Below are 12,925 nucleotides of genomic sequence, written 5' to 3'. Positions count from 1 at the left end.
CACTTTGGGAGGCCAAGGCAGGTGGATCACGAGGTCAGGAGTTTGAGACCAGCCTGGCCAACATGGTGAAAGCCCCTATCTACTAAAAATACGAAATTAGCCAGGCGTGGTGGCGCGTACCTACAATCCCAGCTACTCAGGAGGCTAAGCCAGGGAATCACTCGAACCCGGAAGGCAGAGCTTGCAGTAAGCTGAGATGGCACCATTGCACTCCAGCCTGGGCAACAAGACTGAAACTCCATCTCAAAAAAAAAAAAAAAAAAAAGACTGGGTGAGGTGGCTCACACCTGTAATCCCAGCACTTTGGGAGGCTGAGGCGGGTGGATCACGAGGTCAGGAGTTCAAGACCAGCCTAGCCAAGATGGTGAAACCCCGTCTCTACTAAAAATACAAAAATTAGCCAGACGTGGTGGTGCGTGGCTGTAATCCCAGCTACTTGGGAGGCTGAGGCAGAGAACTGCTAAAACTCAGGAGGCAGAAGATGCAGTGAGCCAAGATCTCACCACTGCACTCCAGCCTGGGCGACAGAGACTCCATTTTGCCTTCCAAAAGTTAAGCTATAATTTTGCCCTGTAACTTCTGGCTAGTGATGGAACGACTTTCCTGGGCTGGTTTCCTTACTACGATTGAAGCTCAGGTCCATGTAATAAATGTGATACCTCAATGTTGCTGTTAAAATAAATATCAGTTCATCCTCCTAAACAGAGTAATTTCATTATACACTCCCCAATCATTTGACCTGGGCAGAGTCAGCAGGAGCCCGGGGAACATCTCTCCACACTTCCAGGCTAGCCTGGCTGTAACCTTTCCTTGACAATTTGTGTATAGTTGTGTTACAACTTACATGTTGTAGAAAATTTTGTATGGCTGACTCATCTTGATCTCAAATTAGGGACTATATTTCCGCAATTTGAGATCTTGCAGACCATGTTTTAAAAACATACTAAAAAGTATAAATACATTAATATATAATGTTAATTAATAATAATACTTTAAAAGCATCCTGATGTATATCAAAATTGTAACAGAATTTAGGAGTAGGTAGTAATGCATTTTCTTTGCTCTCCACTTTTGTTATTACAGGATGTATTTGTAAATAGGTAGATTGATCTCTGGGTCTTAACTGGACCCTAAATGAAGGAATTTATCACAACTACCAGAGTGCTGCTACCTTTAGCTTGGTGCTTTTTTTTTTTTTTTGAGACAGAGTCTTGCTCTTTCGCCAGGCTGGAGTGCAGTGGCACAATCTCGGCTCACTGCAATCTCCGATTCCCTGGTTCAAGCGATTCTCCTGTCTCAGCCTCCCGAGTAGCTGGGACTACAGGCGCCTGCCACCACGCCCATCTAATTTTTGTATTTTTAGTAGAGACGGGGTTTCACCATGTTGGCCAGGATGGTCTCGATCTCCTGACCTCGTGATCTGCCCCACTTGGCCTTTCAAAGTGCTGGGATTACAGGTGTGAACCACCGTGCCCGGACTGCTTGGTGCCCTTTTAGGGCTGCATCAAAGCTGCTGTTGAAAATGTCCTAGCAGGGCAGATGTGCTGGTGGCTGTGATTTCTTTAGAGGTTTTTATCCACATGGGATCACACGCAACTCTTTCTGTGAAAGATGATTACAATTTTGGGTAACAGATGCACTGATTTTTCTCATGTTTAGGGATCTTGGGGTGCAGGAGGACCGGCAGGTCCCACAGGATATCCTGGAGAGCCAGGGTTAGTGGTAAGTACAGCACTGCTGATGTGATCCCTTTAAAAACCAGATTCTACATGAAAATAAAGAAGCAACATTGCCATTTTGGGTCAGACACAGGTGGGCCGTTTGAGAGATTATAATCGATGAATCAGTGAAAACCCACCATTATCAGTGGGACTCCATCTTGAAGCACAGGTCCCTGCGGATGAGCCACTGACATCATCTTCACAGAAAACAGCCCATCCATGATAGAAACTCCATCACTGCATGTTTTAAAATTAAGGGTTTCCTAAATAGGACCCTATTTTGGGGTAACAAAAGAAGGCACATTCTGATTTCTATGTCTGATGATTGATTTGTGTTTTTTTCTCCCTTGATTTAGGGACCTCCGGGCCAACCAGGGCGTCCAGGTTTGAAGGTAGGCAGTCATGAGCAAGATACATCAATAGAGCCCTGAACAATGAAATGGTTGACCACTGATATTTGTCAGAATGATGGCTTTCCTCTTATCAGACTTCCCAAAGTATTCCATGAACTGCAATATATTGTGTAGCCAGAAGTCTTAATTGCTTTTAATTACTTTTTTAAAATTCAAAAGCAATTAGATTCTTTTTCATTTCTTTCTCAGGGAAATCCCGGTGTGGGAGTAAAGGGGCAAATGGGAGACCCGGTAAGAATTCCCTCTTGCTCTGAGGAGCAGATGGTGACGTGTGTGTGCTGCTCAGGGGTGGAGGCTGTTCTGATTATTTGAACTTGTACTCATTATCTAGTCACTGCCCAATTTTATGGCTGAGAACTTTTCTTTGCCGAATTATTATGGCACCATTACCCTTGACTGTAAAATGAAAGATCTGACACAATTTAACACTACTTTCGGGTTAATTTGTGCAACACATTTCACCCTAGCAAACAGATTGAACATTTTTGACAATATATTATGTCCAGAGTAACAGCTTTGTCAAATCACGGATTTGTTTTGCTTAATTTCACATAAATCCTAAACTCCACCCTTAAATATGCATATAAATACAAATATAAATGACTGGAACCAAGAGCACTGAGCAATACACAATCTCCAACCCACTCCTTTTCTATGCCTGTCCTCCCCGTCTCCTCCCCCTGCCACTCACACCCACTGTCCTTTTGGCCGACATGTAAAACTTAGTAAGAATAAGCTTTAGAAAAGTGATTTAAGGGCTGAGCACGATGGCTGATGCCTGTAATTCCAGCACTTTGGGAGGCTGAGGCGGGTGGATCATGAGGTCAAGAGACTGAGACCATCCTGGCCAACATGGTGAAACCCCGTCTCTACTAAAAATACAAAAATTAGCTGGGCGTGGTGGTGCGTGCCTGTAGTCCCAGGTACTCGGGAGGCTGAAGCAGGAGAATTGCTTGAACCTGGGAGGTGGAGCTTGCAGTGAGCCAAGATTGTGCCACTGCACTCCAGCCTGGTGACAAAGCAAGACTCTGTCTCAAAAAAAAAAAAAAAAAAAAGAAAAGTGATTTAAGAAGGCAACTCACCTGGAAACAATCTGAACATCCAGCAGTAGGTGAGTGGCTCTTTCAACAACTGAGGGCAAGTCAATATTAAGCATCTGCTCCATGCCAAGCTAGGACTGACACTGGGTGTGGGGATTTAGCAAGACAGACCTGATCCCTGCTCTCATGGAGTTCCAGCGTGATTGAGTAAGTCATGGTACAGTCATTTAACAGAACGGCACAGGAGTCAAAAATATATATAACAACTTCATGATGTGGGGAAGTGCCTGTGATATAATGCTGAACAGAAAGTACAGGTTACAAAAATATAAACTCAACTTTGTAAAAGCAACAGCAACAAGAAAGACATTAAAATATACACAGAGAGGGATTTCTCAACCTCAGGCTGCTGCTATTTCATTGTTGTGGAGGCTGTCCTGTGAATTACAGGATGTTTAGCCACATCCCTGGCCTCTCCCCACTAGATGTCAGTAGCATCCCGTCCCTCCAATTGTGACAACTTAAAATGTATCAAAACATTGCCAAATGTCCCTGTGGGAAGGGGTTGCCTAACTACTTTCCCCTTCCCCCAACCTTGAGATCTCTGGCTTGTAGAAATGACTGAATGAAAATATACCAAAACAATGTTTTTCAAGTTTGGGAAGCCATGGAGCTCTGGAATATGTTCGTCGAAGCCACAGGAGCCCGTGTGCCATTGCAGAATCCAGCAAGCATTGGCATCTTAGTGACTTTCCGCGCCAGTCCAATCAGACACATTTGCAAACTCAGGCTGTGGAATAACTTGGAAGTATTTGGCTATGAGGTGGCCATTCAAATGATCTCAAATGTGCTTACCTTAATTCTTTTAGATTGTCAGGTGAATGAACACATAATTTTACAATTTTGGGCCAGGCCCAGTGGCTCACGCCTGTAATCCCAGTACTTTGGGAGGCCGAGGTGGGTGGATCACCTCAGGTCAGGAGTTCGAGACCAGCCTGGCGAACATGGCGAAACCCCGTCTCTGCTAAAAATACAAAAATTAGCCGGGCATGGTGGCGTGTGCCTGTAGTCCCAGCTACTTGGGAGGCTGAGGCAGGAGAATTGCTTGAACCTGGGAGGTGGCAGTTGCAGTGAGCCAAGATTGTGCCATTTCACTCCAGCCTGGGTGACAGAGTGAGACTACGTCTCAAAAAATATAAATAAATAAAATAAGATAAAATATTGATGCAGAATTCTCAGATGTTCTAGAGCATGTTTGCCCACCTCATTTTAAGAAACACTGCCCTAAATGGTTGCTATTTATGCCTACATGATATAATTATGGACCTTTTACATTTTAATTCTTCATAGTTTTCCTTCTTTGTACTTTTGACTATGCTGAGTATATGGTACTTTTACAATATGAAAAAAATAGCAGTATGACCAATATTTTGAAGAAGCCGGCTGCTTGTCAGCTTTTAAGGGTTTTGTTCAGGTTTATCTCAATTACAAGAATAAGAGTGGCTATCTTTACCAATACATGCTATGCTTTTACTCATGTTTTGTTAATGTGCTTGTTCAATGGTTTATTCACACAGCAGATATCTTTAGGGCAGGTGCTACACCAACACTGTGTTAGGTGTGTAGATAAATCAAGGAAAAAAAAACAAAACAGACAATGTTTCTAATCTGGCTTTTCTTCAATTTCCCAGGTTTAGGTAGAAATTGAACTCTTTTTTTTTTTTCTATTTAAACTTGATATTCTTCTAAAAATTCCACCTATCAAAAGCATTAGTAGTTTTAGTAATGATATATTGGGGAATTTACTTTGTTACCCTCAATACGGGAAGCATTTTATGTATATTATCTATTCAATGGAAGAATAGTTTGAGGTAGGTAATATTACAATCTCCATTTCACAGAGAAGAAAAATGAGGTTTCAAGGAAGTAAGGAAATGAGGACTGAGAGAGGTTTTAAGGAACTTGCCCCAAGTGACAGAGCCAGTAAGGGCCTGGTTTGCAAACATGGGTGACCTATGTATAGCCTGTTCTTAACTATGACAAAAAGAAAGATCATACTAAGTGTAGAATAATAGTAATACCCAGAAAAGCACAAAATATTTATTTTCTAATTAATGGTGAGAATTTATGATTGTGGCAAAATTCATTCAAGAAACATTCTTTTCTTCAGTAGAAAAACATCTATCATGGCATAAATAAAAATTTTGGCTATTATTTTACAGTTTTAAAATATTATTGAAAATAAATAGAAATAATCTAATCTAACCAGAGTGAGATGGCTTAATACATCACAGTACATTCTTGTGATAGATTATTTATTGGCACTAAAAATCAGGATTGTTACGTGAGGCCAGGAGTTTGAGACCAGCCTGGCCAACATGGCGAAATCCCATCTCTACTGAAAATACAAAAATTAGCTGGGCACGATGGTGCATTATCTGTAATCCCAGGTACTCAGGAGGCTGAGGCACAAGAATCACTTGAGCCCGGGAGGCAGAGGTTGCAGTCAGCTGAGATTGCGCCATTGTGCCCCAGCCTGAGTGACAGAGAACACTCTGTCTCAAAAAAAAAAAAAAAAAAAAATCAGGATCCTGAAGAGATTTTAGTATAATAGAAAAAGGCTCACAAAATATTGTAAGAAAAATATAAAATTATTTAAAAATTTAATAAAATATGCTGTATATTTTAAATCATGTTTATATATTTATTATAGTATTCTGATTATATTTTCATAAACATAAAACAAATTGTTTATTCACCTATATACACATATATGTACATATATACACATATGTACACACACCACCAAAAATTATATCAAAGTTTTAATAGGCCGGGTGCGGTGGCTCACGCTTGTAATCCCAGCACTTTGGGAGGCCGAGGCGGGCGGATCACCTGAGGTCCGGAGTTCGAGACCAGCCTGACCAACATGGAGAAACCCCCGTCTCTACTAAAAATACAAAATTAGCCGGGCATGGTGGCGCATGCCTGTAATCCCAGCTACTCTGGAGGCTGAGGCAGGAGAATGGCTTGAACCCGGGAGGCGGAGGTTGCTGTGAGCCGAGATCGCGTCATTGCACTCTGGCCTGGGCAACAAGAGTGAAACTCCATCTCAAAAAAAAAAAAAAAAAAAGTTTTAATAGAGATTACTTCTGGATAGTAGGATTTTTTATTTATTTATTTATTTATTGAGATGGAGTCTCGCTCTGTCGCCCAGGCTGGAGTGCAGTGGCACAATCTCTGCTCACTGCAAGCTCCACCTCCCAGGTTCATGCCATTCTCCTGCCTCAGCCTCCCAAGTAGCTGGGACTACAGGCGCCTGCCACCACGCCCGGCTAATTTTTTTTTTTTTTTTTTGTATTTTTAGTAGAGACGGGGTTTCACCGTGTTAGCCAGGATGGTCTCGATCTCCTGACCTCGTGATCCACCCACCTCGGCCTCCCAAAGTGCTCGGATTACAGGCGTGAGCCACCGCGCCTGGCCCTGGATAGTAGCATTAAGAATCATTTTCATTTTTTAAATTTATTTTTAACAATAAGTGTGTATTAAATTTTTATAAGAAAATAAATATCCTTTTATATTCTATGATGTACTTGCCACAACTTGTATTTTAAATCCATGACACATAGGATTGGAAGCATTATACCACAATACATGGGTGAAAACCTTCAAAACATAAATTAATATGAAATTTTCATTATCTTGCTTTTTTTTTTAAGGGTGAGGTTGGTCAGCAAGGTTCTCCTGGACCCACCCTGTTGGTAGAGCCACCTGACTTTTGTCTCTATAAAGGAGAAAAGGTAATTCCCAAATCCATATGTCACCTTGGAAAGTAGCAGTAGAAAATATTTTTTGACATGGATCTGTGGCAGCAAAGTATAGAGGTCTTTCTATGCATCACTGCACTAGTTTCAAACCTACTTTAATAAGTTGGTACTACTGTTGGCCCCATCGTGCGGCATTGAAAATGAGGCTTGGAAGGTTCCCAGTGTTCTCAAGTTTACCCAGCTGCTGAGTGGCAGACCTAGCTCAGGCTGCTAAATTATGACATGTGCTTGTTAATGTTGTTTTGACGTGTGGATTGAAAAGACCACCGGAAGCCCAGTTGTCCTTTAGATGTTACAGATGAGTTTGATGTCTTGATAATTGAGAAGGTAACAAATGCATAGAACTGGGCCGTAATAGATTCTTGGCAAATATTAATTCCTCTGTCAGCTACCAGTGCTGGTATTATTGGTGCCACATGAAGATTCTATTGTTGCTTTTCAATTGCTGGGTTAAATTTCTTTACTTTGCTCAAAATAAGCCACTTTTTCAATGGCTGCATTCCCAAATTGTATCTGCTGCCTGGTTCCGTGGTCCACTGTGGTATCCCATATACCTCTCACATAGAGAACTGGCTCAAATAGTATCTGGTTTATAAGTGTGCTAATTAGAACAGGTGAAGAGTAATCTCTTAAGATTTTTTTTTTTAAGGTGAAACAGATTGTAAAAAGAGATGATTTCTGAAGGAGATGGAATTCAGTATGTTAAATAATAAGAATAGACCAAATTATATTCATTGTAATTTTTAGGGTATAAAAGGAATTCCTGGAATGGTTGGACTGCCAGGACCACCAGGACGCAAGGTAGTTTATTTAAGTACCTTTTTTTTTTTCATTTGTGTGATGTACTATCTTAACTTAAAATGTTATTTCTCATGGTCTTTATCATTGCTTTAAGTGCTAATATATATTACCAGAATTTTTCACTATCTTATCATAATACTATAGAGCTTCTATTCTAAAGTAGTTGTTTTCTTTAAGCTGCTGACAATAATTTTTGTTTCTCATTTTGTTTTTTTTCCCTATTGCTGAAATATTGCTTTCCCTATTGCTGAAATATTGTTGCTTGAACCCCTCTAAATGTTGTCATCTCTTAAAGGGAGAATCTGGTATTGGGGCAAAAGGAGAAAAAGGTATTCCTGGATTTCCAGGGCCTCGGGTAAGCATCATTTGCTGTTAACATCAGTGAATTTGGAGATATTTCTCTTTCATGTTTTTATAAAACCAGGTCAGTAGTCCCACAAGCTCAAAAGTGAAGAATAGCTCATGTAAGAACAAAACATTTTGGACGAGAATTATGGAATATCTAAATATCCCAGAGCATCCTTCCATTGACATCATTTAGATAAAACAGGCAAGCAAAAGATAGAAGAATTTGGGAAAAGTGACAGGATTGTGCCATCTCTTGTCTGGCACCTCAGTGCCAGTAGGAAAGTAGCTTGGAATAGTTAATTTAAGTCTATTTGAGGAAACAACATGGTGATATAGGGGCAGGAGCTAGAAAAAAAGTACAATATTAAGCTCCAAACATCACCACATGTCACTAATAGAAAGCCCACTCATAGAGTCACCATGGAGGCCAGACCGCAGCTGGCATGGGCATTGAGTTTATTTGGTTCTAGATTTAGTACTGAATGGGGAAATATTGGTTTCCATGGTCATTTTTATTGCTAATGATGCACAGAGCAACTATTAATTTCCAGGCAAATTATATTGCAGAGATTTTAAAGATATTTGGCCCAGTGCAAGCACTAAGTTAAGTAAATTAAATTTGGAAAAGCAACGACAACAAAAATACATTCTTAATTAAAACACTGGCAATGACATGGATTTTTTGAATAAGACTGAGGATCACTTCAAGTAGCAAATGTTATAAAGAAATGGAATCTATTTTATATTTATTTCCTTTTATTCAGCTAGCTTTGCAAACAGGACCAAATATCCATGGAACAATTTGATAAGGTGAAAAATGATGCACTGAGCTGGTTAATGCATTCTGATTTAATTCTGTTTATCCTGATTTTTGTGAATTTATTAGGGGGATCCTGGTTCCTATGGATCTCCAGGTTTTCCAGGATTAAAGGTAAATGTACCTCATTATAGAGATAATAAATACATTTCATTAGTAAATGCAATTTAGTATAATTCAGAAGTTGTACTGTTGCGTGCAAACACAGTAATTAGGAAGGCAGACACATTCATTTTATGGATTGCAGGATTTAGCTGTGGGTGCAAAAATTGAAGCACAAGATTGTCTGATGCAACTGATGAACAGTGTTAAGACTTTGCATGGTCTCAGTGGGCAATGTGTTGCTTAAATTAAATGAGAATGAGATAATTTGTCACCCAGTCACTTTTTTTTTTTAAGGCATGTTTGTGCTTGTTTGTAGGGAGAACTAGGACTGGTTGGAGATCCTGGGCTATTTGGATTAATTGGCCCAAAGGTAAAAAGTGAGCCTATTTTAATATATCCTGATAAAAGTTTATATCCTTAATATTATCTAATTTATTTTTAGAAGTATTGCCAGGAATCATTCAAGAATGTAATTTTTAGAAGAGATACAGTTAATTTTTTATTCAATTGTTACATTAGTCTGTTTTTCATGTTGCTGATAAAGACATATCCAAGACTGGACAATTTACAAAAGAAAGAGGTTAAATGGACTTACAGTTCCACGTGGCTGGGGAGGCCTCACAATCATGGCAGAAGGCAAGAAGGAGCAAGTCACGTCTTACATGGATGGCAGCAGGCAAAGAGAGAGTTTGTACAGGGAAACTCCTATTTTTTAAAACCATTATCTTGTGAGACTCATTCACTATCACAAGAATAGCACAGGAAAGGCTGGGCGTGGTGGCTCAAGCCTGTAATCCCAGCACTTTGGGAGGCCGAGGCGGGCAGATCATGAGGTCAGGAGATCGAGACCATCCTGGCTAACACAGTGAAACCCCGTCTCTACTAAAAATACAAAAACAAAATTAGCCAGGCGTGGTGGTGGGCGCCTGTAGTCCCAGCTACTTGGGAGGCTGAGGCAGGAGAATGGCATGAACCTGGGAGGTGGAGCTTGCAGTGAGCTGAGATCACACCACTGCACTCCATCCTGGGCAACAGAGTGAGACTCCATCTCAAAAAAAAAAAAAAGAATAGCGCAGGAAAGACCCACCCCCCATAATTCAATCACCTCCCACTGGGTTCCTTCCACAACAGGTGGGAATTGTAGGAGTTACCATTCAAGATGAGATTTAGCTGGGGGCACAGCCAAACCATATCAGTTGTCCCTTGTTATCTGTGGGAGATTAGTTTCAGAACCCCTAGGCTACCAAAACCCTCAGATGCTCAAGTCCCTGATGTAAAATGATGTAGTATTTGCATAATACTTACACACGCCATATCTTATATTTTAAATCATCTCTAGGTTACTTATAATCTCTAATACAATGTAAATGCTATGTAAACAGTTGTCATATTCTATTGTTTTATTATTTTTATCATTGGATTGTTATTTTTTTTAAAATATTTTTTATAAGAGTGCTGACTGTATAGTACTTTAATGCATGCTGTGTGTTATTATGCATGATTATCATATTATCATATCAGTGTCATATTAAGCATTATTATGTTCTACATTTGAGAAGTGATCCTTTTGAAGGTGAATAATCATGAGAGTTTAAAAAAATTCATAGGCTCATTGAGATTAGAAACAGAGGGCATCTTAGAGAGTTTTCTGCTTTTAACACCACTGCATTTTTTCTTTCCTTTTTAACTTTTGTGACCTCATCTGGCACTTGCTCAGCATGTGCAAGGGAATTGTGTTCCCTTAAAGCCATGGTGGCATTAAAGGAACACAATTTAGAGGGACGCTATTTGTTGCTAAAATAAAATGTAGATTCGGACCTTGTTAGGTGAATAAACTATTTGTCATCGATGCCAAGTTAGACATTAATGCTCATGGTATATCTAAGAAACTTGGTGACATCAGAGGTATCCAATTTATAGGCATAGAATAATTTCACTGGAGTTAAATTTCTTTTCCTTTGTAGAAGCTTTGTGACTTGCTATTTACTTCCACTACTTGTAGATAAGAGATTAGATGCATCTTTGCTGCTCCTAAGACTCCATGGATGCTTCATTTCTCTAGTCAGCCTATAATCTCTGCTTCTTATATGAATGTGCACATGATCGTTCTAATACTGGTTTAATGCCAGGCAACATGAGTAAAATTAATATTCCTTTAAAAAGTGAATGAATGAATGATTTCAGGGGGATCCTGGAAATCGAGGGCACCCAGGACCACCAGGTGTTTTGGTGACTCCACCTCTTCCACTCAAAGGTTTGTGTTCCTATTCAGTTCCTCCATAAATTATGCAGAAATAGGAGTTGAGTGGCCAGGACAGAAGAGTCTGGCCCAGTATTTCCATAGCTTGCACACTAGGCAGGCTGAATGCACGAACTGTAGCATGAGTGTATAATTATACATGTGCATGAGGTTTTTTTCAGTACATATACTGTATGCTGGGATTTTTATTGTTATCTTTCAGAAAGTCTATTTTTAATCGCTAAAAATTGTATGAAACTATTTTACTGGCTGGGTTCAGTGGCTCACGCCTGTAACTCTAGTACTTTGGAAGGCTGAGGCAGGCAGATCACTTGAGGTCAGGAGTTCGAGACCAGCCTGGCCAACATGGTGAAATCCCATCTCTACTAATAATACAAAAATTAGCTGGGTGTGGTGGCACATGCTTGTAATCCCAGCTACGTGGGAGGCTGAGGCACGAGAATCGCTTGAACCTGGGAGGTGGAGGTTGCAGTGAGCTGAGATCATGCACTCCTGCCTGGGCGACAGAGGGAGACTCCGTCTGAAAACAAAAACAAAAACAAAAACAGAACTATTTGACTAACACCTATCAAGATGCTGCCACCAAAAGGAGTAGCCTAAATCAGTGACAAAGAACCCCATTCAAAGTTCACGTGTCTGAGGAAGAGGCACAGCCAAGGCGGTTCACATTTAAGATATTTCGTTTTAAATGTAATGAGAAACTGCAAAAATGTCTCCTAATTATACTTTACTGAGTCTCACAAAAAGTAATTGTTGTCTTAATTTTAAAATGCACATACCATTTGTTTATTCTCATGTACCATTATCTTTGGCAGGCCCACCAGGGGACCCAGGGTTCCCTGGCCGCTATGGAGAAACAGGGGATGTTGGACCACCTGGTCCCCCAGGTCTCTTGGGCAGACCAGGGGAAGCCTGTGCAGGTACGGATGCCCTGATGTGCCCTGGCTTTTACAGGTCAGATTTCCTGCATCATCATCAGCACCAGTAGCTTTCAACTGTAGCTGATATTGGAATCACCTTAGGATTGTGTAAAATAATACCGATGCCTGTGCACACCCCAGACCAAGAATGTTAGACTCTTGGGAGATGGGCCTGGGGATCTGATACTGTAGAAGCGCTCCTGTGTCTGTAACATATAGCCAAGGTTAAGAACCACTGAACTCAAACCAATTAATCACTTACTTGGGAGGAATACAGGTTTCTCAGCTGCACCCCAGAACATTCAATCAATATCATAGGGGTGTTGTAAGGAATATGTATGTATAACAACAGGCCTCCCACAAAGTTATCGCATGCAGATAAGGCTTGGAAACCACTGCTAGGATTAGTGTTTCCCCATGTTTTCCCACCCTGCTGGAAGGCTCTCCCTGTTGACATCTACTTGTAAAATTTAGTACATTCACCTAATCCCTTGCTTAAATCTCCTGCATGAAAGGTGGAAGTAAAAATTATGATTAAAAAAACTTTCATTCATAATTACTTTAAAAAAGTCTTCTTCCCTCGCGTCAAAAACAAAAATAAGAAAATGATGGGCCACAGTGGCATTTGGTAAAAAGCCTGGGAAAGAGTCCTGTTGGCATAAGGACTTTGAAC

At 40.4% G+C, this 12,925-nt stretch overlaps 1 protein-coding gene across 28 annotated transcripts in view; it reads left to right on the top strand.

Annotated features, from left to right (window-relative positions):
• COL4A4 (collagen type IV alpha 4 chain) overlaps positions 1-12,925 on the top strand; it is a 197,129-nt gene that overhangs the window by 53,543 nt on the left and 130,661 nt on the right. For 27 of the 28 annotated variants that reach the window (XR_922837.3, XR_001738602.2, XR_007069255.1 and 24 more), the window contains exons 10-19: positions 1,660-1,722; positions 2,078-2,113; positions 2,324-2,365; positions 6,894-6,974; positions 7,749-7,802; positions 8,098-8,157; positions 9,037-9,081; positions 9,389-9,442; positions 11,257-11,326; positions 12,148-12,252. Coding sequence is in view for 25 of the 28 variants with exons in the window: in XM_011510565.3 (XP_011508867.1) it covers positions 1,660-1,722; positions 2,078-2,113; positions 2,324-2,365; positions 6,894-6,974; positions 7,749-7,802; positions 8,098-8,157; positions 9,037-9,081; positions 9,389-9,442; positions 11,257-11,326; positions 12,148-12,252 (610 nt within the window). In the remaining 3 variants the exon portion in view is untranslated. The remainder of the gene's footprint in view (positions 1-1,659; positions 1,723-2,077; positions 2,114-2,323; positions 2,366-6,893; positions 6,975-7,748; positions 7,803-8,097; positions 8,158-9,036; positions 9,082-9,388; positions 9,443-11,256; positions 11,327-12,147; positions 12,253-12,925) is intronic. The other variant, XM_005246282.4, reaches the window with a different exon arrangement.

This window comes from Homo sapiens, chromosome 2, assembly GCF_000001405.40.
Source record: "Homo sapiens chromosome 2, GRCh38.p14 Primary Assembly".
In the NCBI taxonomy this organism is placed as follows: domain Eukaryota; kingdom Metazoa; phylum Chordata; class Mammalia; order Primates; family Hominidae; genus Homo; species Homo sapiens.
This window is presented reverse-complemented; position numbering and strand designations above follow the sequence as displayed.